The 24,251-nt window shown below is 51.2% G+C and overlaps 1 protein-coding gene across 6 annotated transcripts, besides 7 other annotated features; it reads right to left on the bottom strand.

Moving 5' to 3' along the window:
• Positions 2,189–11,052, bottom strand: ARMC5 (armadillo repeat containing 5). Of its 6 annotated transcripts, NM_001288767.2 has the most exons (8): positions 10,855–11,052; positions 10,380–10,502; positions 9,357–9,888; positions 7,327–7,434; positions 6,439–7,225; positions 4,469–4,962; positions 3,374–3,506; positions 2,191–3,277 (listed from the first exon to the last, which is right to left on the bottom strand). In NM_001288767.2, exons 1-8 carry the CDS (start codon positions 10,957–10,959, stop codon positions 2,467–2,469), a joined length of 3,093 nt encoding a protein of 1,030 aa, NP_001275696.1. In that variant the 5' UTR covers positions 10,960–11,052; the 3' UTR covers positions 2,191–2,466. The 6 variants fall into 6 exon arrangements, with proteins under 6 accessions (NP_001288749.1, NP_079018.1, NP_001275696.1 ...); NM_001301820.1 differs by lacking the exon at positions 10,855–11,052 and having other exon boundaries at positions 2,189–3,277; positions 10,016–10,502; XM_006721091.4 differs by lacking the exon at positions 10,855–11,052 and having other exon boundaries at positions 2,191–3,295; positions 10,016–10,502.
• Positions 9,307–9,656: a silencer, noted in NCBI's record as "silent region_7419". NCBI's record gives its function as "represses an Ori minimal core promoter by ATAC-STARR-seq in GM12878 lymphoblastoid cells {active_cell/tissue: GM12878}" and the evidence as "EXISTENCE:reporter gene assay evidence [ECO:0000049][PMID:35858748]".
• Positions 9,847–10,186: an enhancer, noted in NCBI's record as "active region_10764". NCBI's record gives its function as "activates an Ori minimal core promoter by ATAC-STARR-seq in GM12878 lymphoblastoid cells {active_cell/tissue: GM12878}" and the evidence as "EXISTENCE:reporter gene assay evidence [ECO:0000049][PMID:35858748]".
• Positions 10,185–10,725: an enhancer, noted in NCBI's record as "H3K27ac hESC enhancer chr16:31469952-31470492 (GRCh37/hg19 assembly coordinates)". NCBI's record gives its function as "activates a minimal SCP1, AML or CMV promoter by ChIP-STARR-seq in primed H9 embryonic stem cells {active_cell/tissue: H9 hESC(primed)}" and the evidence as "EXISTENCE:reporter gene assay evidence [ECO:0000049][PMID:30033119]".
• Positions 11,373–11,941: an enhancer, noted in NCBI's record as "H3K4me1 hESC enhancer chr16:31468736-31469304 (GRCh37/hg19 assembly coordinates)". NCBI's record gives its function as "activates a minimal SCP1, AML or CMV promoter by ChIP-STARR-seq in primed H9 embryonic stem cells {active_cell/tissue: H9 hESC(primed)}" and the evidence as "EXISTENCE:reporter gene assay evidence [ECO:0000049][PMID:30033119]".
• Positions 15,129–15,900: an enhancer, noted in NCBI's record as "H3K27ac-H3K4me1 hESC enhancer chr16:31464777-31465548 (GRCh37/hg19 assembly coordinates)". NCBI's record gives its function as "activates a minimal SCP1, AML or CMV promoter by ChIP-STARR-seq in primed H9 embryonic stem cells {active_cell/tissue: H9 hESC(primed)}" and the evidence as "EXISTENCE:reporter gene assay evidence [ECO:0000049][PMID:30033119]".
• Positions 15,901–16,673: an enhancer, noted in NCBI's record as "H3K27ac-H3K4me1 hESC enhancer chr16:31464004-31464776 (GRCh37/hg19 assembly coordinates)". NCBI's record gives its function as "activates a minimal SCP1, AML or CMV promoter by ChIP-STARR-seq in primed H9 embryonic stem cells {active_cell/tissue: H9 hESC(primed)}" and the evidence as "EXISTENCE:reporter gene assay evidence [ECO:0000049][PMID:30033119]".
• Positions 17,254–17,548: an enhancer, noted in NCBI's record as "tiled region #15326; K562 Activating DNase unmatched - State 8:EnhW". NCBI's record gives its function as "activates a minimal TATA promoter and a strong SV40 promoter by Sharpr-MPRA in K562 cells {active_cell/tissue: K562}" and the evidence as "EXISTENCE:reporter gene assay evidence [ECO:0000049][PMID:27701403]".

The following is a 24,251-nucleotide window of genomic DNA, read 5'->3' as shown; positions in this document are numbered from 1 at the left end:
TGAAACTGTATTATTCCTAATAAAAAGAAATGAGATGCTACAGTGTGGATGAACCTTGATAACATTAAGCTATATGAAAGAGGCCAGATATGAAAGATCACACATTGTATGATTCCATTTATATGACATGTCCAGAATAGGTCATCTGTAGAGATACGATGTAGATTAGTGATTGCCTAGGGTTGGGGGAAAGGGAGTGTTATGGACTGAATGTTTGTGTCTCCCCCACATTTATACATCACAGTTCAACCCTCAGTGTGACTATATTTGAAGATAGGGCCTGACTGGGCGCGGTGGCTCACGCCTGTAATCCCAGCACTTTGGGAGGCCAAGGCAGACAGATCACCTGAGGTCAGGAGTTCGAGACCAGGCTGGCCAACATGGTGAAACCCCATTTCTACTAAAAATACAAAAAAAGTTAGCCGGGCATGGTGGCACCTGTAATCCCAGCTACTTGGGAGGCTGAGGCATGAGAATTGCTTGAACCAGAGAGGCGGAGGCTGCAATGAGTCAATATTGTACCACCACACTCCAGCCTGGGTGACAGAACAAGATTCCAAAAAATAAAATAAAATAAAATAAAATACCGATGCCCAGTCCAATGTGAGCAAAAAGACCCCAGGCATCAATAGTTTTTCAAAGCTCACTGCTTGGTTCTAATGCATAGCCTGAAAACCAGAGACCTGGACCAACACTCACAGAGGCTCAGAGACAGCAAGTGCCAACCTCAGCTGCCCAGAAGCAAACCTTGGCAGGCCCAGTGCAGCTCTCCCCAAAATCAGGCTGCCACTGAGGAGTCAAAAATCTGCAAGCCAATTATTAAACAGTAAAAGAGCAACAGATGTTGGCATGAATGTGGAGAAAGAGGAATACTTATACACTGTTGGTGGGAATGTAAATTAGCTCAACCTCTCTGGAAAACAGCATAGAGATTTCTCAAAGACCTACAACTAGAACTATCATTTGACTCAGAAATCCCACTAACGAGCATCTACCCACAGGAAAAGAAATCATGTAAAAGACAGCTGGACTCATTGTGTTTATTGCAGTACTATTCACAATAGCAAAGTCATGGACCCAACCTAAGTATCCATCAATGGGTGACTGAATAAAGAAAATGTTGGCTGGCACAGTGGCTCGTGCCTATAAATCCCAGCATTTTAGGAGTCTGAGGCAGGAGAACTGCTTGAACTTAGGATTTTGAGACCAGCCTGGGCAACATAGCAAGACCCTGTCTCTTAAAAAAAAAAAAGGAAAATGTGGTACATATACACCATGGAATAGTACACAGCCTTAAAAAATGAAATAACGTCCTTTGCAGGAACATGAATGGAGCTGGAGGCCATTATCCTAAGTAAACTAACTCAGACACAGAAAACCAAATACTGCATGTTCTCCGTTATAAGTGGGAACTAAGCAATGGGTACACAGGGGCATGAAGATAGAAACAGACACTGGGGACTCCAAAAGGGGGGCGGGTAGGTGCGGGGCAAAGGCTGGAAAATTGCCTAGTGGGTATAGTGTTCACTCTTTGGGTAATGGGTTCACTAGAAACCCAATCCTCCCCAGTACACAATACACCCGTGTAACAAACATGCACGTGCCCCCTGAATCTAAAGCAAAATAATAGTCAAAAAAAAAAAAAAAAAAAAAGATCTGGAAGCCAGATGATGGAGACCCTGCCTTGGAGACCAAAGCAATGTGAGCCCTTCCCTCCCCTCAACGCCAGCACAGGTCTTTGTCTGTCTCTGGGCATGACTAAGACAGGGCTCAGAGATTCCCTCCACAGCAGGTCTTCCCTCAGACAGACAGCAGTAGGACACGTGGCCCAGGAGATGAAAAGGGAGCCAAAGAATGGGGGCCCAAGATGGGCAACAGTCAGTAATGCAAAGGCCTTCAACACATCATCAGACTAACAGCATTCCCTCAGCACAACCCTTTCAGCCCCAAGCAAGATCTGTGTGTCCAGTTGGGTTGCTATGTCAGAGGAGTGAGGCCCTGACAGCAGGAAGCAGGCTTCCCCTGAGGCCCAAAACCACATCCTAAGCAGCAGCCTGGGAACTCAACCTTGTCCCAGTACTTATTAAACTGTCACATGCAAGGGTGGTCTGTGTCCAGACACAAAGACCTGAACAAGACCCTGCTTGGTGGGCGAAGAAACAGAAGCAGACACACCACACAACACAGGTATCCAACTCCAAATTGTTTAATCTCAATTCCAGAGGTCTAGGCCAGGCCAGGCACCTGGGGCTCTGGGCTGTTCTGCTTCTCTGGGCCCTACACCCAGAACCTGGCCTTGGCTTCTCGCTCCCGGGTCTTTAGATCGTCATCTTGGAGTCCGGTTCCATGTTCTCACCGCTCCTCCATGATGACTCCTTCTGCTCAGCCTCCTCCCTTGCCAGTCTCAGGGAGGATCCTTCACAGCCAATTCATCCTTGGGTCCCCTTCCCAGGGGACGTCAACAGTCTAGGCAGGGACCCTTGCCCCCAACTCAATCCCCATCACCACAGCCAGCAAAGCCTCCGTCAGGGGCCCTGCCTCTTCACCTGCTGCCTCCACAAGCCCCACCAGGGCCAGACCCCGCTTCCTCGGGCACTGCTCTGACCCCAGTGTCCAGCGGGCACAGTGGGCAGCCAGCCGGGGCCGGCCCAGGCGGAACACCTCACCCACTGACTCCGGGCCACCCTGGGGTCCCAGGTGGATGCGGCCCACGGCCTCTTCCAGCTCCTCCTCCAGCCCAGGCAGTAGGAAACGGCCAGCAGCCTCCAGTGCCTCCTCGGCCTCTGAACCCAGCAGGGGCTGGCCTGGTGGGGGCACGGGCCCCAGGGCAGCCCCACACCCCCGACAACCATGCAAATGATGCAGGACAGGCCAGGCTGCACCAGGCGACAGACCTCGCAGGGGCACCAGGTCCATCTGGGCTTCTGCAAAGCTGCCTGACAGCAGGGCCCGGAAGAAAGGGGAGGCGGTGGCTGAGGCCGCTCGCTGGGCAGGGAGCTGGAGGCCTGAGTCCAGCAGGAAGTGCAGGTCGGGAGCTGGGACAGGGGCTGGGCCCAGCAGAGGTTCATAGAGGCAAGGGGAAGGTGAGTCTAGGTCCATGGGGACTGCCTGTGGGACAGCTGGGCTCACAGTGGGAGACACCAGGTCTTGGAGGCAGGAAAGGGAGTCCGCGGCAAAGAAGAGGAAGAGCGGGTGTGGGGCCGGCCGGGTCAGCGCCGCAAGGAGGAGCCGGAGACCACCCTGCTCCAGAAGCAGCCGGCGCCACAGAGAGGGCTTCCTACAGGGAAGAGAGGGCCTTTCAAAAGGTGGGCAACGGGCCTGGGAAACACAGCACTCCTCCCCCAACCCCGCAAGGCACCCACTTCCCACTCACCGGCAGATGAAGGGCAGGGTCAGCGCGCAGGCCACTCGGTCCTCAGGGCTCCCAGAGAGCAGCAGGTGCGTCAGGGCCCCAACCCCAAAGGGCGACTCAGCCTGAACCGTCAGGTTCTGCAGTAGCCTCTCCCCTGTGAGTGGAAAGCTTGTCAGGCTGGGAACTGGGGTCTAAGACAGGTGGGGTGAGTGAGACAGGGCTCTGGGCCCGTGAGATGAAGGAGGGTGAAACCTCTGGGTGAGAAATCAGGGCACTGAAGAGACAGTGCTGGGCTCGGGACGCTGGGAACCTGAGGTCCAGGACAAGGACAGAAGGTGGGACAGTCAGGGTGTAAGTCTGGGCCCCTGAAGTGTGGGCGGCAAGCCACCCAGGCGCCGAGGCAAGAGACGGAGGACACGAGCTGTTCCAGTATAATACAATATAAAACAAGAATAGTTATACCAGATATAGATCTTAGAGATATATGAATATCATTAATCATTAGTTTGTAGTAATTACTCTTTATCCCAATATTGTAATAATCCTCGCTCTATAATCATAACCTGGGAAAAACCAGGCCATACAGAGATAGGAGCTGAGGGGACATAGTGAGGTGTGACCAGAAGACAAGAGTGCGAGCCTTCTGTTATGCCCGGACAGGGCCAGCAGAAGGGCTCCTTGGTCTAGCAGTAACGCCATGAAGCAGCCTGTGGTCAGGGCACAGCAGACAGGGCAGTCCCTGGCAGTGCTGGGGGTGATGGTGAGGCTGGGGTTCACAGGTCAGCGTGCTGGTGGGGAGCAGTCAGGACAGTGCTGAACCAATGGCAGAGCCAGGAAAGAAGCACAGACCAGCCCAGATCCTGGGCGCGGGGCTGCATCTAGAGTTAGGGTATCTGGGTCCCAGGGCTAGGGCAGAGGACACAGCAGAACTCTGCCTGTGGGCCCATGGAGGGACTGGAACGCCCTGCTCCCCACCCCACTCTGGTGACAGGTTGTCTGGAGGACGGGCTGGGGAGGACAGGTGAGTGGGAAGGTGAGGTTCTGGGCCCATGGAAGCCATGGGGGAGGATGGGGACTCACATGGGGGCAAGGAGACGGGTGGGTATGGGAACTCACCCAGCTCTCGGTGCCGGCTGTGGAGAGTGGGCCGGGCACGTGGTGCCGGCCAATCGTCAGGCGCCACCCCCAGCACCAGCCAGGCCCGCAGCAGCGCCGCGCCATAGCTGCGCACGAAGGCCTCGAGGCAGGCAGGGTTGCAGGTGAGGCGTGACAGAATGCGCAGTGCACGTGGGCTGGGCGGGCCCGGTGCGCCGGTCACATAGGTCAGCAGGCCGTACAGCGCCGGGCCGGTCACAAGTGCCCCACTTGGGTCAGGGGCCTGGGAAAAGCGCGACAGCAGCAGCAGGGCTGGCCCTTCGCGTCCCCAAGGCTCCTCGATGGCGGCGGCGGGGCTGCGGCCCGGAGTGCGTTGGGTGCGTGGTGCCCGCAGCGAGGTCGGGGTCGGGGCGGGGCTGGCCGGCTCCATGGGCTCCGGCGGACACTGCTCAGGAGACCAGTCGGGGGAGATGTCATCAGGGCCTGTGGCATAGCCCTCGGAGATCAGCCACGACCTGCGGAGGGCAGAAAGGGAAGGAGACTGAACCCAGAGCCAAGGTTAAGGGGCAGAGTCCAAGAGGCGTGAGGCGTCTTTTTTTTTTTTTTTTTTTTTTTTAAAGAAATGTGGTATCCCTCTATAGCCCAGGCTGGAATGCAGTTGTGGGATCCTAGCTCACTGCAGCCTTGAACTCCTGAGCTCAAGTGATCCTCCCACCTCAGCCTCCCAAGTAGCTGGCACTACAGCTGTGTGCACCACACTCAGCTAATTTTTTAAATGTTTTGTAGAGATGGGTCTCGCTATGTTGCCCAGGCTGGTCTCGGACTCCTGTGCTCAAGCGATCCTCCTGCCTTGGCCTCCCAAGGTGCTAGGATTACAGGCGTGAGCCACTGCATGAGCTAAAAGCTGTCTTGGAGGGAGGTAAAGCCAGGGGAGAGAAGGAGGGCGGAGAAAGGGGAGAAACGGAAGTGAGAGGGGGATACGACTAAAACCTCATTCAGTAATTACTGATGCCTGTCACGTGCCAAGCCGTTCTTTAGGTGCTGGGTAGAAGCACTGAACAAAGTGCCTGTCCCCCTGGAGTTTATGTTCCAGTGAGAAGAAGCAGACAAGAAGTAAGAGTACCATGAGTTATGTTAGTGTGGGGCTAGTGTAGAGTACAGGGGTCATGGAGAAAATAAAAAGGAAATAGGAAGCGCTGGGGGCTGGGCATGGTGGCTCACATCTGTAATCCCTACACTTTGGGAGGCTGAGCCAGGAGGGTCACTGGAAGCCAAGAGTTCAAGACCAGCCTGGGCAACAAAGCGAGATCCCCAACGCTAATGTTTAAAAAAAAATAAAGAGTTCCTCAGCTTTCCTGTGATGCTTCAGCTCATGAGTGATGGTAAGAGAGTAAGAACTTGGACTCCAGAGCCCACCATCTTAACCAGCGTATATCCCACCTCCCAGTGAACTTGTCTGGGGCCCAAAGTTCAAAGGTGCTGGCGTGGAACCAAGGTTAAAAGGTAGATCCAGCCAGTGCAGTGGCTCATGCCTGTAATCCCAGGACTTTAGGAGGCTGAGGCGGGTGGATCACCTGAGGTCAGGAGTTCGAGACCAGGCTGGCCAACATGGTGAAACCTTGTCTCTATTAAAAATACAAAAATTAGCTGGGAGTGGTGGCCGGCACCTGTAATCCCAGCTACTCGGGAGGCTGAGGCAGGAGAACTGCTTGAACCAAGGAGGTAGAGGTTGCAGTGAGTGGAGATGGCACCACTGCATTCCAGCCTAGGTGACAGAGTGAGACTCTGTCTCGAAAAAAAAAAAGGTAGACTCAGGGGAGTGGAGTGTGTTAAATAGGAACTGGCAGGTGGTCGTGTGGGAATCAGGAGTCTGGGTTATAAAAGTCTTATTCAGACAGAATAGGGGTGGAGGTAGTGAAGAGGACCAAGACAGACACAAACCCCACATCACTGCACTGCTCACCCTCCCAAGCCCTGAGGCAGGGACTCACCTGAGGCTCCGGAAGCTTCCACCCTGTGCCCGCTCAGGGGTCCTCTCCTCAGGAAAGTCCCAGGAAGCAGCTTCTCTTCCCTCTTCTTCCTCCTCACCAGCCTCACCACACAGCTGCCCAGCCAGGAGAGGCACAAGTCCCAGAGCCTGCAGCCGGCCCAGGGCCCCAGTGTCATACAGAAACCCCACAAGGGCAGCCACAATACGAGGGTGCCATGCGCTTGCACGAGGGTCCCGCAGCAGGCCCATCAGTAGATCCAAGCCACCAGCATCCCGCAGTCGGGCCCGGTTGATGGCCTCACGACATAGGAGGCACACAGCCCGCACCAGGGGCTGCTGGGAGGTTGGGCTAGCTCCATTAGGATCCCGGCGCTGCCGGAGCTCATCTACCAGCACCTCCACGCCACCAGCATTGCCCAGTGCAGGCCGAATCAGGCCCTGGGCACACAGGTTGGCGAGGATCAGAATGGTTCCCTCGCGTACTGCCCGCTTGGGGTGGGAAGCCAGGCTGACGAGTGGGCCCAATCCCCCACCCAGACTTAGCTGCTCAGCACAGGCCCGGGAGCAGCCTCGGCTGAGTTCCAGGAGGGCACGGACGAGGGCTAAGGTCAGTGCAGCATCTGGGGCAGTGGCCAGGAGCTCGGCCAGCGGACGCACTGCTCCCTGCTGTGCCAAGGCCAGGCGGTGCTGGGGTGAGTCTGCCAGGTTACGGAGGGCACGCACCACGCTCTGTAGGCACTGCGAGTCCTGGCAGGCTGTCAGGCTCTCCACAAGCAGGGGAACAGCACCTGAGGGCAGGAAAGGGGAGCACAGAGGGTGAACAAGGACAGACACTCAAGCCTTTCTTCTGCCCCAAGCCCTAGCAGACCCCAACCTCACAGCCTCTTACCAGCACAGTGGATGTCCCCACAGCTCTCAGGTTCCATGGCTAAGTTCCCCAGGGCACGGGCCGTTCGGTTCTGGATGCTGTCTGTCTTCATGCACTGAAGAATGGTCACTGCAACGACAGTTTGGGCTTGTGAGGGTTCTACCCCTTACTGTCTCTCACATCAATAACCTGGAGAATGTGGCCTGAGAGGGCCTGGAAGGCTTTCAGAAGAGGCTAATGGTCGGCAGGGCACCGTGGCTCAAGCCTGTAATCCTAGCACTTTGGGGGACCAAGGTGGGTGGGTCACTTGAGGTCAGGAGTTCAAGACCAGCCTGGCCAACGGGGCCAAACCCCATCTCTACTAAAAATACAAAAATTATCTGGGCATGGTGGTACACGCCTGTAATCCCAGCTACCCGGGAGGCTGTGGCAGGAGAATTGCTTGAACCCAGGAGGCAGAGGTTGCAGTAAGCTGAGATCGTGTCACTGCACTCCAGCCTGGATGACAGAGCAAGACTCCATCTCAAAAAAATAAAAAGAAAGAGGCTAACACTCGGGCTGGGTCTGGAGGGGTACACAGGAAGGTATTTGCCAGAAGCACGGTGGATGGGGGTGTGAGAAGGCATTTCAGGTTTGGAAGCAGCCTTTCCAAAGGCCCAGAGGTAAGATACAGTGTCTGTGAAAGGCTTCAAATGTCAGGCCAAGGGGTCAGGACTTGAATGTGAAGGCACTGGGGGCCACACAAGGGTTTTATGAAGGGGAGTGACACGATACAATCTGACATCCATAGGGAGAATGCATTATGGGGAAAGAATAGGAAGGGGGGAGTCAAAAGGCTGTCATAATAGTCCAAGCATGAAAAGACAATAGCTTGAACCAACCCAGCTACTGGCATCACACAGCACAGAGATACCAGTCTCTGGGCACACAATGGAAGTAGGAAGAGAGAGAAGCAGATAAATTCAGAAGATATTTAAGATGAAAAATAGTAGCTGAATGATGGGGGTTATTTAATAACCAAAGCTCTTGTCAAACATATATGGTCCAGATACATTTTATGTAAATTTTAAATATATTAATGCTTCCCTTTATCCGAAAAGTTAAGATGTCATCAAAACTAGCATAATTTCGTGGAAGGCAGGTAGTGACATGTAAACTGCTTTCACACATTGCCACTAGGAGGCACCAATTTAGCTGGTAAACAGAAAAGCTTATGTTTTGCTAGGATTTGTTCTTACTGTGCTGGTTTTAATTATTTTTATTTATTTTTTCCTGCTTCCTAAGCGACTACTGATTTGTTTGGTTTTCTAAGATACGAGGTCTTGTTACGTTGCCCAGGCTGGAATGCAGTGGCTATTCACAGGCAGTCATTGTTCACTGCAGCCTCAACCTCCTAGGCTCAAGGGATCCTCCCGCCTCAGCCTCCCAAATAGCTGGAACTACAGGCGCGTACCACTGCACCCAGCTTATGCTAGTTTTTAATAACTTGAAATACGTATCATGCTTAGAATATTTGCATATTCGTGCCATATTTGTACTTCGTTTTCTCCCCACTCTGATTTTTTTAGGTAGCTATTATTGCCCCATTTTACAAGGAATCCTAGCCTCGGAGGGGTTAGGTGACTTTTGCAGATCTCCCTTTCTGAACCACTACACCTTCCAGCTCATCAGTGGGGCTTCAGAACCTTGCACAGGGCCGGACACATAGTTGGGCACTGAATGTCTGCTATGAACATCATAACTGGACGGTAAGAATCATCTGAAAAAATCACCAAATAACTCTTTGGCCTCCGCTAGTCCAGCTTCGAAAGAAGTCCTCAACAACCAATTCCTAGATAATGGCTACAATTATCTGGTCTGGGAGGGCTCTCTCTCATCTATAGAGAGTGCAGTGACGTCACGGGGCACAACAGATTGAGAAACAGGAGCGATGCGCCATCACAAAGCACGTTATTCCGGGATAGGACACAAAGAACTCCAGACTGCCCGGGTCTAGAGAGCAAGGGAGTTGCAAACCTAATCTTTCTAGGAAACGGGGGCGGAGCACTTACCCAAAGGGAGTATGCCTCCGAGTCTGCGCACTTCGGTCCGGCACGCCCCTTCCGTACAGCAATCGGCTAGGATGCTGAGCGCCAAGTCCAGCGTCTTGCGCAGGCGCACTGGCGGCGTAGGACTAGACGACGACACAGCGGAGGGGGCGGGGCCCGACGCGGGGGCGGGGCTAGAAGCTCCCGACGCGGCCGACGAGGGGGCGGAGCCGGGGCCTGCCTGGGACGGGGCGGAACCCGCTGCAGCCGCTCGCCGTAGCAGCGCGAGTAGGGGGCGGAGCCCGCCGCGTGCCCGGAAGCGCTCGATTCCCCCCGCTGCCTTGATGTGGCGCGTGCGGAGGGCTAGGAGCGCGCGGCTCAGGGGTGTCTCGTTGGTCGCTGGGTCCTTTTCCCCACCCAGAGCCTCCCCGGCCGCCGCCGCGAGCTGCGCGAGGCAGAACGAGAGCGAGTCCGTGAGGGTTGGCTTCGCAGCCGCCATCTTGGCTCGGGCCTCAGACTCCGCCCCGCTTCTCGCCGCTGATCCCAGGGAGCGGAACTGGAAGACAGGGAAATCGTCGGGCACCGCCTCGCTGACGCTGTTTAGCGCCACCGCAGTGATGCAAGTCGGAAGTTGTAGTTCTCGACCCCGGAAGTCTGTCCTTGCACACGAGGCGCGGCAGTACCTTAATCGCAGCGCATCCTGGGACGTGCGGGCGGTGCATGAGGGAGATGTGGTCCGCGTCGAGCTTCTCACGCCTACCTCGGGAAGCGCTGGAAACTCTTCCAGGGCCCTCCAGGTGGGCCAGGGCCTCCGAACAGCCCAGAAGTCCGACCACGGAGCCTTCGTGCCGTGCCCCGCCCCCGGCGTGCACTCGGCGGGGACCGCCTTTTCTCCTCTAGGCTCGCTTCGCTGCCCCCCAGCGGTGGTGCGGCCCGGCCTTGGGACGGACTCCGAGAACCCCGAGCCGGGCCGAAAGTGCGGGGTCCTGACCGCGCCGCAGACGGGGAGCCCTCGCTCGGTCAGAGGAAGAAGAGGGTTAAACCTACCGAGAACGTTCGCTGCCGCTTCCTAGAGTGACGGGCTTGTGGAATTTTCCGTTTCCGGAGCTGGACCCCGGTGTCCCGAGTGTCCTCCGCTCTGGACGTGCTCGTGAGCTCAGGAGCTGGCATCTAGGAAACGGGGAGTTCTTCACTCGCAGCGCAGTCGGCCGCGCCAGAAGAGGCGAGGGAGAATCCGGACGGGGCGGGGCGGCGGGGGAGCGGGACATTCGCGTCCCGGGGAGCCCCCAGGTCACCCCTGGATTGCGAGGTGGCTCCGCCTGAGCAGCCCTTCCTGGTGTGGTCGGGGCAGCTGCCCGCCCGGAAAATGGTCAGGCTCTAGCCCTGGGGAGGAAGAAGCCTTTGCCAAGAGCAACCGTCTACAAGCCCCAAAACCTGCGAGTGCCGGAAATGTGGACTGACCACAGCCTGCCTCCCCGGCTTCATTCACCACCAAGGCAGCCCCTCTGGTGACAAGCCTTACCGTTGTCCGGGTTATGGCAGAAGCTTCCGATGTGGCTCTGATCTGGTTAAGCACCACTGGGTACACACCGGTGAAAAGCCGTACTCCTGCCCCGAGTGTGACCATCGCTTCGGCCCTATGCCTGTGCCTAGTGTGGTAAGACTTTCAGCGTCAGCTCCAACCTGATCCAGCACCAGCGCGCTCACACCGCTAAAAGCCTTACCGCTGAGGGGACTGCGGCAAGAGTCTCAGCCTTGGCTCCACCCTGTTGCAGCACCTGCGCTCCACATGGGTGAGAAGGCCTCTAAGTGCCTTGTTTGTAGTAAGAGTTTTGTGCACAGTTGGAATCTGCTGCGGCACCAGCACAGTCACAAAGTCCGGAAACCTGATGCTTGGTGGTGAGTGTGGCCAGACCTTCGGCCACAGCTCCCACCTGCCCATCCACTAGGCGGCCCACAGCAGCACCCCTGCGTCTGCCTGCAGTGTGGCAGGGCCCTAGCGCAAAGCTCCAACCTGGGCCAGCACCAGCGGACGCACTAGGGCGGCAGCCTCTGCAAATAGCCCTGGCTTCAATTTTAGCTGAAACTTCAGCTCTGACTTTGGTTCGGACTTCAAGGAAATGGAAGGAACCAGGATCTCTAAGCAGACCCCCTTCTGCTCCCTTAGGGCTGTTGATTTTAGAGCTAATGATGGGATTCGGTTGGGGCGAGGGGGTCTCCACATCTTTTTGCCCAACCCTTTGCTAAGTCAAGGAACCCCAGTCTGGGCTGGGCATGGTGGCTCATGCCTGTAATCCCAGCACTTTGGGAGGCCAAGGTTAGCGGATCACTGGAGGCCAGGAGTTCGAGACCAGCCTGGCCAACATATTGAAACCCTGTCTCTACTAAAAAAAAAATGCTAGGCGTGTTGGCTCTCGCCTGTAATCCCAGCTACTCGGGAGGCTGAGGCAGGAGACTCACTTGAACCCCGGGAGGCGGAGGCTGCAGTGAGCGAAGATCGTGCCACTGCACTCCAGCCTGGGCGACAGAGAGTGTCTCAAAAAAATAACAAATTTAAAAATTGTTTTTAACAAAGGAGCCCCAGTCTGGAAGAATCAGAACACTAGATCTGTGATCACTGCCTTCAAAGAGCCCAGTCAGCTGAGAGGGCTTAGGTTTGTTCTTTGAAGTTACAAAGACAGAACGTCGACCAGCTGAAGGGAGAGTTTTGGAATGGCGGGAGCTATCCAGCGTGGACCCAGCTGCCTGCAGATCTGGCAGTAGCTGACACAGTCCCTTCACAGGCCTAGGGAGTGATGGGGTTAATCACACCTAGAACAACAGCTACCTCTTCCCAGAGGAATGGGACCAGAAATCAGGCAAGCCCCTGTGAGGAGTTCCATGGCAGCGCGCAGGCGGGGCATTCCTAACCTCCAGAGGGAACCATGAGGGATCCTGTGTTCTGGCAGATGGGCCAGAGAATTTGAACTTGGGACCATTGTGTGAGCCCTGGGTGTGTGAGCCCTTCAAAAGTCCTCTCAGCACGTGAGAACTATCATTATGGATGATGCTAGGGTGGTGGGGGCCCCAGAACAGACCTGTATGTTGAGTTCAGGGGTTGCTTTGTTGCATTTCTGGGCAGGGGCAAGAGGCCCAGGGTTTGTCATCTGCCCCTTCCCCTGCCTTATCCCCTTCCCTTCCAAGTTCCCCAGGCTCCTTTTCTGCCAGTCTGTCAAGAGAGGGAAGAGTGGCGAAGAGTCCTTTGTGCCTGGACATTGGGGACTGAACATGGCCCTTTTGCCTGGGCATTGCCCAAACATATATTTCTACTGGCATAACTTTGTGTATGTGAGAGCCAGGGGTAGGCTTCCCAAAGCACCTGCCTGTGCTCAGAGTAGACACCAAGCTCTGAGGCCCTTCCCTTCCCTGCTGGGGGAGGGAGTTGTCTGTTTCAAGGACCTAATGTCCACCCCTTGTGGGACAGTCCTACCATCAGTCCAGGCATCTGGTCTGCTGCCCCCAAATTTTACCATCTTTTTTTTTTTTTTTTTTTTTTTTTTTTGAGACGGAGTCTCACTCTGTTGCCCAGGCTGGAGTGCAGTGGCACGATCTCAGCTCACTGCAACCTCCGCCTCCTGGGTTAAAGTGATTCTCCTGCCTCAGCCTCCCGAGTAGCTGGGACCACAGGCTTGCGCCACGATGCCAGCCAGTGTTTGTATTTTTAGTAGAGGGTTTCACCAACCCTCTACTAAAGACCAGCCTCTAGTTGGTCAGGCTGGTCTCGAACTCCTGACCTCAAGTGATCCATCCGCCTCAGCCCCCCAAAGTGCTAGGATTACAGGCATGAGCCACCACGCCCGGTAATTTTGCCATCTTTTATCAGGCTTTCTGTGTCGAGGACGCTACCCACATAGAGTAGAACCTAAAGGGAAGGGATGTGAAGTGACCTCACCCTCAGCTTCTAGCTCATGGTGTCAAGGCTTGTGTGATCTTAGACACGTCTGCCTCTTCTGAGCCTGTTTCTTCATCTGTAAAACAGGGATGGGAGGTTGTGGTAAAGATTCCACAGCAACACTGCACACGCATGAAGTACCTGGGCCAGGGATGACTCGGCAGACCTCAGTTTCCCTCTGCCTCCTGCCTAGAGCTGTTAGCAAGCATCCATCATGCGGCTCACACAAGAGCTCCCCCCGGAGGTTACAGAAATGAAGGCAGCAGCCCCAGTCCTTGGGTAGCCTGTTTCCCCTTGAAGGAAACAGACTCAATATCAGCAACACAGAGTGAATGACGCCAGGGTGGCGAACGGGCCTTTCCTGGAGCAAATGCGGGAGGCTTCATGGAGATGACGTGTAATGAACAGCACTCATCTCAGGCTGGGAGCAGCACATGCCCCCGGCAGGGAGTCAGTGATGAGGTATGGGGTTCTTGACATCTTCCTCACCCAGGACCCTTCAGAGAGTACGAGCCAGGGTTTGAGTGAAGGGCCTGAGCCCAGCACATGCATGGTAGGCACTCAAAGAATAATTGTCATGATCAGGTCCTTTTTACACTGCTTACTAGTGGCCTTTAAGCCTCAGTTTCCTCACAGTTGCCTTGAGTGAGTGTCAAGTGTTGTAGACCTCTGCAAAATTCATAACTGCTTAAGAATATTAGGTATGGGTAGAGTAGGCTTGGAAGGAGGATTGGTTTGCAGAATCCCTTTCAGAGACCTGTAATCTAATTTCTCACATTAGGGCTAATACTCCTGGGACCCCTCTCCTCTCCAATTGCATAAAACAGGTTCTGACCAGAACAGCGAGGCAGGCCAGACCTCAGAAGCAGAGGGACGGGCTTAATCTAACAGGAGTTTATCCCATGTCCTGCATCCACTGTACCCTGTGCTGGGTTTAGAAGTAGCTTCACTGTCCAAGCTTGTGACCCAGTGCCCAAGCCCGAGATGGGAAACACATTTGTTTTGGCTGTGTGTGTGTGTGTGTGTGTGTGTGTGTGTGTGTGTGTGTGTTTTCAAACAAGCCAAGATTTTTACTTTTTGAGTTCCATTTTGTTGCCCAGGCTGGTCTCTGAAACTTCCAGGCTCAAGCAATCCCCCTGCCTCAGCCTCCCAAAATGCTGGAATTACAGGTGTGAGCTACCATGCCCATTTATTTATTTATTTATTTATTTATTTATTTTTGAGACAGAATCTCACTCTGTCATCCAGGCTGGAGTGCAGTGGTGCAATTGTGGCTCACTGTAGCCTCAACCTCCTGGGCTCAAGTGATCCTCCCACCTTAACCTCCCAAGGAGCTGGGACTACAGGCATACACCACCACACCTGGCTAATTTTTTGATTTTTAAAAAATGTTTTGTAGAGACGGGGTCTCACTGTGTTGCCCAGGCTGGTCTTGAACTCCTGAGTTCAAGTGTTCCTCTGGTCTCAGCCTCCCAAAATGCTGGGATTACAGATGTGAGCCACCTAACCTGGTCTTTTTATTTTTTTAAAGAGCCAACATTTAAATAAGGAGATTTCACATCACAGTCGATTTCTGGGGCTTGGTTTGTTGTTGTTTTTTTTGTTTTTTTTTTTTTTTAATTGAGACAGGATCTTGCCAGGTTGCAGACTGGTCTTGAACTCCTAGGCTCAAATGATCCCCTCCTGGCCGGGCACGGTGGCTCACGCCTGTAATCCCAGCACTTTGGGAGGCCTAGGTGGGCGGATCACGAGGTCAGGAGATCGAGACCTTCCTGGCTAACAAGGTGAAATCCTGTCTCTACTAAAAATACAAAAAATTAGCTGGAAATGGTGGCAGGCGCCTATAGTTCCAGCTACTCAAGAGGCTGAGGCAAGAGAATGGCATGAACCCAGGAGGCAGAGCTTGCAGTGGGCGGAGATCCTGTCACTGCAATCCAGCCTGGGTGACAGAGCAAGACTCCGTTTCAAAAAAAAAAAGAAAAGATCCCCTGCCCCGGCCCTTCCCTCCCCCACCCACCTCGGCTTCCGAAAGTGGTAGGATTACAGGCGTCAGTCACCACACCCGGCCTGCTTTATTATTTATATCAGAAGATGCTGCAACATTGGATTTTTATGGCAGCAGTTCGTTGAGTAGTGGCTGTCCTGGACATAGGAACAGGGACACTCCCTCTTGCATCCCTGACTCAGCACGTTTCATATGTGTTACTTGCCTGTCCCCTGCAGAAAAGTACTTGAGGTTACAGTCTCCATCCCACCCCACTGTGGGTGAGAAGGACCTTTCCATGCAGTGAAGGCACTTTTCCCCTTTCCTTCACCCCTTCCTGTTCCCTTCTCTGCCGTTTTCCTTCTTCTCCCCCAGAACTCCTCTGTGAAATACCTGGCCTCCTTCCCTGAGCCTCCCTGTCTCCCTGCCACCCCATCTCCACTCCGTGCTATGACATCACCCCGTAATTTGAAGCTCCTTTCCCTATCTGAAGGGAGGCAGAGACAGAGTGCACAGGCTCAACTAGGCAAGGCAGACCCTTGCATGCCTGGGTCAGAGGTCAGGGTCTCTGGCACACATTCCTCCCAGAGCAACTGTAGGAAGCAAGCCAGTACAGAGGTACTCTAAGCGCTAGACAGGACGGGGTGGGAGTCGGTAACATCGTCTCCTCTGGGCTGGCCCTGCTTCTGCTTAGCTCTGGGCATAAGACTGACTCCAGTACAGTCACAGTTATGTCTCTGAGCTCACCCAGTCCTGGGTTCCAGGTTCCCAGCTCTGAGCCTGGCGAGACACACACAGGCTGGTGCTGTGGGATGTCTTGGTACGGTGGCTCACGCCTGTATTCCCAGCGCTTTGGGAGGCCGAGGTGGGCAGATCACCTGAGGTCAGGAGTTCGAGACCAGGCTGCCCAACGTGGTGAAACCCTGTCTCTACCAAAAATATAAAAATTAGCCAGGCATGGTGGCACGTGCCTGTAATCCCAGCTACTTGGGAGGTTGAGGCAGGAAAATTGCTTGAACCCAGGAGGTGGAGGTTTCAGTGAGCCAAGATCGTGCCACTGCACCCCAGTTTGGATGAAAGAGTGAGACTCCGTTTCAAAAAAAAAACAAAAAAAACAAAACCAAAAAATAAAAAAACACATCAGCTTGACATTTTGGAGGCATTCCCAGACTCAGGGTTAGTCAGCAGATTAGCATTTAAAAGAAAGTCTTGTCCCTACAGATTCCCTGACCTCAGCTACCCATGAAGGGTGGGAAGAGGAGTCCTTAGCAAGAAGTCCAGGAAGTTGACAACCTCCTCAGACCTGATAGGACACTCCTCTCTCCACCCTGCCTCCTGACTGATTTAATCTCAGGGGTGTGAGGACCTCTGAGATAGGCCCCAGGAGTCTCACCCGCACCACTTATGTCTCAGGGCTAACCAGAGACTCCCTGAAACAGATCCTAGAGGATTCCCAAGTGATAGGATAAATAGAGAGGTACTGAGACTTCCTGGCGTGGGTGACCTCTCCCAGGCTGGCCAACCTCCCCCATTCAGAAATTTGCTGAGCACCAGGAGTGAATGAAGTAAAGGAAGCCCCTAGGAGTTCAAGAAGCAGAGATTTCCAGGTCCATGCACCAAAGCTCATGTGCTCAATTCTCAGGAAAGGCCTCACTCAGTTAAAAAATTTTGTATCATGAAAGGGTAAATGAATTAATTAGTGAATCTGGTTTCTAAGCCAATGGCTTACTAGAAATATTATAGTAAATCAGAAAAAAAAAAAAAGGCGGTGGCTCACACCTATAATCCCAGCACTTTGAGAGGCTGAGGTGAGAGGATGCTTTGAGCCCAGGAGTTCGAGACTAGCCTGGGCAACATAGCAAACCCCATCTCTAGAAAAAATTAAAAAACCAGCCAGGTGTGGTGATGTTCACTGTAGTCCCAGCTATTCAGGAGGCTGAGGCAGGAGGACCGCTTGAGCCCAGGAATTTGAGACTGCAGTGAGCTAGGATTGTGCCACTGCACCCCAGCCTGGGCAACAGAGTGAGACCCTGTCTCTAAAAAAATAATTTTTTTTAAAGATAATTCTTCAAAGGAGATCCGCTCTTCCTTTCCTACACCCATTCCCTTTCCTCCCTTTCCTGAACAATGCTGTCTTACAGCCTCTAGGGGCAGGCAGAGCCAAAGAGGCCTCTGCCGGGTGTGGGGAGTGAGACGCAGCAGGCCAGAGCATGTATCAGAGCTCCAGCAGGTGGGGGAGGGTGTCCACACGAGAAGGTGGCCTGGCTTGGCATGGCAGAACCTGATAGGATTAGGAAGGCATCAGCCACGGGAAGGAGATGGCGAGAGAGATAAGAAACTGCTTCCACCAGCTATTGGTCAAATAAGTACACATTTGAAAGATAACAGCCAGGTTTCTCAGTGTCAGAGAAAACCGAGACACAGCTCGGGAAAGGGAGAAAATGTGGGTGGGGAGACCCTTGTGGTGTCGAATTGGAACTGGAGGTATAGGAGTAGACTCAGGATTTTCAGAAAGTGTTTAGATAGACATAGAAATTAGTATGGGTGTGTATATGTGTATGTGCACGCAGATGTGTGTAAATGTCCATATATTCCCTAGCTCTGGAAAGCCCTGGAGCAGTGCCATCCCAATAACAAAAAGCTTTTTATGGTTTTTTGAGATAGGGTCTCTCCCTCACCCAGGCTGGGGTGCAGTGGTGCGACCACAGCCCACTGCAGCCTCGACTTCCTGGGCTCAGGTGATCCTCCTGTGTCAGCCTCCCAAGTAGCTGGGACTACAGGCATATGCCACCACACCCAGCTAATTTTTAATTTTTTTTTTTTGTAGGGACGGGTCTTGCTACGTTGCCCAGGATGGTCCTGAACTCCTGGGCTCAAGCAATCCTCCCACCTCAGTCTCCCAAAGTGCTGGGACTACAGGTGTAACAGTTTTAAGGTAATCAGAATCAAGAAATGATTGAGGTGATGCTCTGGAATAATGGGGACTAGAGAGTCGTGACAACTAAATGCAATGTGTGGTGTGGTAGCATTTTTCTGGGCTGTAGTCCCTAGATGGGTAGAGAAGAAAGCCCCGGAGAGGGTGAAGAGGTGGGGATGTGGAAGACGTCAGAGAGAGCACAGGGCAGAGCGCAGAGAACTGCATCCACAGGCCTCGCCATGCCCCCAGCATGGCTGCACCACACCAGCAGATGCCTTCGCTTCCCAGCAGTGGACACAGGTCACTGGATCCTCACAAATGAGCAGCCAGGAGAATGTTTGCAGCCTGGAGATTCGGGGCTTTGTCAGCACCTTGGGAAGGTTTTGTTCTTGGGTTTTGGGTTTTTGGTTTTTGGATTTTTTTGGTAACAATATCGCTATATTTATTCTCCTGCAGTACACTTTTAAATTGCTTCAACATTTTCCCCTTAAAATAAAAAAGAACAACAACAAAAAAATTCCAAACCTTAGAATTGAAATATTTGGCCTTTTCTCTCTCTCTTTTTTTTTTTTTTTTTTTTTTTTGAGATGGAATCTCGCTCTGTCGCCTAGGCTGGAGAGCAGTGGCGCGATCTCAGCTCACTGCAACTTCTACCTCCTGGGATCAAGCGATTCTCCTGCCTTACCCTCCTGAGTAGCTGGGACCACAGGCGCATGCCACCATACCAGGCTAGTTTTTTTTTGTTTTGTTTTGTTTTGTTTTGTTTTGTTGGTATTTTTAGTAGAGACGGGGTTTCACCGTGTTAGCCAGGATGGTCTCGATCTCCTGACCTCGTGATCCGCCTGCCTCGGCCTCCCAAAGTGCTGGGATTACAGGTGTGAGCCAGTGCACCTGGCCTTGGCCCTTTCTCTTTTTATTTCCTCGCAGTTCTCTCCCTTTTTTAAAAAAAATAATAATAAATTGAATTTATAAATAGAGGCAAGGTCTTGTTATGTTGCCCAGGCTGGTCTCGAACTCCTAGGCTCGAGGGATCCTCCCACCTTGGCCTCTCAAAGTGCTGGATTACATGTGTGAGCCACCCCACCTGGCCCCAGCTCTCTTAATTGCCAGCACTCCTCTTGGAAGTCCCTCATCTTGATTACCTTATTTAAGGTCACCTCCTCACAGGCCCTATCTTTTTTTTTTTTTTTTTTTTTTGAGAGGGAGTTTCGTTGCTTTTGCCCAGGCTGCAGTGCAATGGCGTGGTCTCGGCTCACTGCAACATCCATCTCCTGGGTTCAAGCCATTCGCCTGCCTCAGCCTCCCAAGTAGCTGAGATTACAGACATCTGCCACCACACCTGGCTAATTTTTTGGAATTTTTAGTAGAGACGGTGTTTCACCTTGTTGGCCAGGCTGGTCTTGAACTCCTGACCTCAGGTGATCTGCTTGCCTTGACCTCCCAAAGTTCAGGGATTACAGGCGTGAGGCACCATGCCCAGCCAGTCCCTGTCTTCAAATACAGTCACACTGGGGGTTAAACAATGTATAAATTTGGGGGCGATACAAACATTCAGTCCATAACACCCCCTATACCCCAACCCTAGGCAACCACTAATCTACATCTTATCTCTACAGATGACCTATTCTGGACATGTCATATAAATGGAATCATACAATGTGTGGTCATTCGTGTCTGGCTTCTTTCATATAGCATAATGTTATCAAGGTTCATCCACACTGTAGTATCTCATTTCTTTTTATTAGGAATAATACAGTTTCACTTTATGGATTGCTGTGGTTTGAACCTGTCCCCTAAAGTTCATGTGTTGGAAACTTAACCTCCAATTCAACTGTTGAGAGGTGGGAACTTTAAGAAGTGATTAGGTTATGTGAGCTCTTCCCTCATGAATGGATTAATGGCATTATTGCATGAGTAGGTTAGTTATCAAGGGAGTGGACAGCTGATAGATAAATGGATGGGTTCTGCCCCCACCCACCCCCTCTCTTGCACTGTCTTGCCCTTCCGCTTTCTGCTGTGGGATGAGGCAGAAAGAAGGCCCTCACCAGATGCAGGGCCCTTGACCTTCGACTTCCCAACCTCTAGAACTGAAAGAAAGATATTTCTATTCTTTATAAATTATCCAGCCTTAGGCATTCTACGATGCAGCACAAAACAGACTAAGACATGGATATGCCACTTTCTTCAATCATCAGTTGACAGACATTTGGGTTGTTTCCACTCGGGCTATTATGAATAATGCTGCTATGAATACTCACGTACAAGGTTTTTGTGGAATATGCTTTTATTTCTTTTGGTTACATATCTAGAAGGGAAATTGCTGGATCATATAACTCTATGTTTAAACATCTGAGGAACTGCCAGACCATTTTCCAAAGTTAATGAATGATTTTACGTTCCAACCAGCCATGTGTGAGGGTTCCAATCTCTCCACATTCTCACAAAAACTTGTTAATTAACTGTCTTTTCAGCTTTTTTTTTTTTGAGTCGGAATCTCACTCTGTCACCAGGCTGGAGTGCAGTGGCGTGATCTCAGCTCACTGCAACCTACGCCTCCCAGGTTCAAGTGATTCTCCTGCCTCAGCCTCCCAAGTGACTGGGATTATAGGCGCCTGTCACCACGCCCAGCAAATGTTTGTATTTTTAGTAGAGACAGGGTTTCACCAAGTTGGCCAGGCTGGTCTCAAACTCCTGAGCTCAGGTGATCCGCCCACCTCGGCCTCCCAAAGTGCTGGGATTACAAGTGTGAGCCACTGCCTGTAAATATTATCATTTAAAAAATATCATTTTTAAAAATATTATTTAAAAAAAAAATTTTAATGTTTTTTAAATATTATTTTTAAAAATAATAATAATGTTATTATTATTTGAGATAGAGTCTCCATCTGTTTCCCAGGCTGGAGTGCAGTGGCGTGATCTCAGCTCACTTCAGCCTTCACCTGCCAGGTTCAAGTGATTCTCCTGCCTCAGCCTCCTGAGTAGCTGGGACTACAGGCACCCGCCACCATGCCTGGCTAATTTTTTGTGTGTTTTTAGTACAGACTAGGTTTCACCATGTTCACCAGGCTGGTCTCGAACTCCTGAGCCCAGGTGATTCGCCCACCTCAGCCTCTCAAAGTGATGGGATTACAGGCATGAGCCGCCACTACTGGCGTAATTACCTGTCTTTTTTATTATCACCATCCTAATATGTATGATGTGGCACCTCGTTGTAGTTTTGATTTGCATTTTTCTGAGGACTAATGATGTTGAGGATCTTTTCATGTAATTATTGGCCATTTATATAACTTCTTTGAACTGTCTATTCAAGTCATTTGCCCATTTAATTTTTTTTCTTTTTCTTTCTTTTTCTTGAGACAAGGACTCCTCTGTTGCCCAGGAGTGCAGTGGCACAATTTCGGCTTACTGCAGCCTCCACCTCCATGGTTCAAGTGATTCTCAGCCTTCCGAGTAGCTGGGACTAGAGGTGCAGGCCACCACACTCGACTGATTTCTTTCTTTCTTTCCTTTTTTTGTTTTTTGAGACTGAGTCTTGCTCTCTCGCCTAGGCTGGAGTGCAGTGGCGTGATCTCTTCTCACTGTGACCTCTGCCTCCCGGGTTCAAGTGATTCTCCTGTCTCAGCCTCCCGAGTAGCTGGGATTACAGGCACATGCCACCATGCCTGGCTAATTTTTGTACTTTTAGTAGAGACAGGGTTTCACCATGTTGTCCAGACTGTTCTCAAACTCCTGACCTCAGGTGATCCGCCCACCTCAGCCTCCCAAAGTGCTGGGATTACAGGCGTGAGCCACCGTGCCCAGCCTAATTCCATTTTTAAATTGGATTATTTGTCTTTTTTATCATTGAGTTGCAATAGTTCTTTATACAGTCTAGGTACAAATCCCTTCCCAGATATATGATTAGCAAAGATTTTTACCTGCTCTGTGGGTTATCTTCTCCTTTTCTTTTTTATCTTCTCTTTTTCTTAATAATGTCCTGTGAATCTCCCTGACGTCTGGGTATTTGGAAAGAAAAAGAAAAAAATTAAAGAATAATGTCATATGAAGCGCAAGAGGTTTCAATTTTGATGGTGTTCAGTTTCTGTATTTTTTTCTTTTGTTGCTTGTGCTTTTGGTGTCATATCTAAGAAAGCATTGCTTAATTCAAAGTTATAAAGATTCTAAGAGTCCTAACTTTTAGTTCTATGATTCAATTTGAGTTAACTTTTATATGTATTGTGATATAGGGATCCAAATTCATTCTTTTGCATGCAGATATTCAATATCTACCTTGTATATATACATATATTTTTTTAATTTTTAATTTTTTTTTTTTTGAGACAGAGTCTCCCTCTGTCACTGAGGCTGGAGTGCAGAGACACAATCGCAACCCACTGCAACCTCTGCCTCCCAGGTTCAAGGGATTCTTGTGCCTCAGCCTCTCGAGTAGCTGGGATTAGAGGTGTGTGTCACTATGCCCAGCTAATTTTTGTATTTTTAGTAGAGACAGTGTTCTGCCATGTTGGCTGGGCTGGTCTCGAACTCCTTGCCTCAGGTAATCCGCCCACCTTGGCTTCCCAAAGTGCTGGGATTATAGGAGGGAACTACCTCGCCCTGCCTATTGTATAATTTTTTATTGAGAGTGCTATGGTTTGAACATCCCCTCCAACTCATGTTGAAATTTAATTGCCATTGTAACAATATTAAGAGATGAGGCCTTTACGAGGTGATTAAGTCATGAAAGTTCTGTCCTCATGAGTGGATTAATGCCATTATCATGGGAATGAGTTAGTTATCACAGGGGTAGGCTCCTGATACAAGGATAAATTCAGTGCTATTTCTCTCTGTGTCTCACGTCTCACAAGATTGCATGCCTGATATGGTTTGGCTCTGTGTCCCCACCCAAATCTTGTCTCAAATTGTAATCCCCACATGTTGGGGGAATGGCCTGGTGGGAGGTGACTGAATCATGGGGGCGGACTTCCCCCTTGCTATTCTCGTGATCGAATTCTCAGGAGATCTGGTTGTTTGATAAGTGTGTGGCTCTTCCTCTTTGCTCTCCCTTTCTCTTCTGCTGCCATGTAAGATGTGCCTTGCTTCCCCTTCACCTTCTGCCATTATTGTAAGTTTCCTGAGGCCTCCCCAGCCATGTGAGTCAATTAAACTTTTTTTTTTTTTTTTTGAGACCGAGTTTCAATCTGTCACCGAAGCTGGAGTGCAGTGGCGCTGTCTCAGCTCACTGCAACCTCTGCCTCCCAGGTTCAAACAATTATCCTGCCTCAGCCTCCTGAATAGCTGGGATTACAGGTGCCTGCCACCATAGCCAGCTAAATTTTTTGTAGAGACAGGGTTTTACCGTTGGCCAGGCTGGTCTCAAACTCCGTACCTCAAGTGATCTGCCCACCTTGCCTCCCAAAGTGCTGGGACTACAGGCGTGAGCCACTGCGCCTGGCCTCTTTTTTTTTTTCTTTCTTTTTTTTTTTTTTAAATAAATTACCCAGTCTCAGGTAGTTCCTTACAGCAGTGTGAAAACAGACTAATACAAAGCACTTTCACCTTCTGCCATGGATGACCCTTGATGCTGGTGCCATGCTGTTGGACCTCTAAGACTGCAGAACTGTGAGCCAAATAAATCTCCTTTCTTTATAAATTACCCAATCTGTGGCATGGTTATAGCAGCAGAAAATAGACTACACCAGAATATAGAATATATCAAGAGTATAGAAACACAACTGACTTCTGTGTATTGATTTTGTTGTTACAGCTTTGCAGAATTTGTTTATTAGCTCTAACAAAGTTTTTTTCATAGATTCTTTAGGATTTTCTATAAAATCACCTCATCTATAAATGGAGATAGTTTTACTTCTTCCTTTCTGATTTGCTTGCTTTTTATTTTTCCTTGCCTCATGGCAAGAGCTTCCAGGCAAGAACTGGTGAGAGCTTCCAGTACAAGGCTGAATAGATGTGGCAAAAGTGGGCATCCCTTTCTTGTTTCTGATCTTAGAGGAAAAGCTTTTATTCTCTCACCATTGAGTATGATGTTGGCAGTGGGTTTTTTCATAGATGCCCTTTATCACGTTAATTGAGTTTCCTTCTATTCCTAGTTTG

The sequence above is a fragment of the Homo sapiens genome, chromosome 16 (assembly GCF_000001405.40).
Source record: "Homo sapiens chromosome 16, GRCh38.p14 Primary Assembly".
NCBI lineage: Eukaryota > Metazoa > Chordata > Mammalia > Primates > Hominidae > Homo > Homo sapiens.
The sequence above is the reverse complement of the archived record's forward strand: the minus strand, read 5'-3'. Positions and strand labels throughout refer to the sequence as shown.

Coding starts and splice junctions, on each gene's coding strand:
- ARMC5 (NM_001288767.2), bottom strand. CDS start 10,959: ATGGTCACACTCGGGGCAGGAGTACGGCTTTTCACCGGTGTGTACCCA. Junction 7,226..7,326: donor TGGGGACATCCACTGTGCTG/GTAAGAGGCTGT, acceptor TCCTGCCCTCAG/GTGCTGTTCCCCTGCTTGTG. Junction 3,278..3,373: donor ACCCTGCCCTTCATCTGCCG/GTGAGTGGGAAG, acceptor TCTTCCCTGTAG/GAAGCCCTCTCTGTGGCGCC.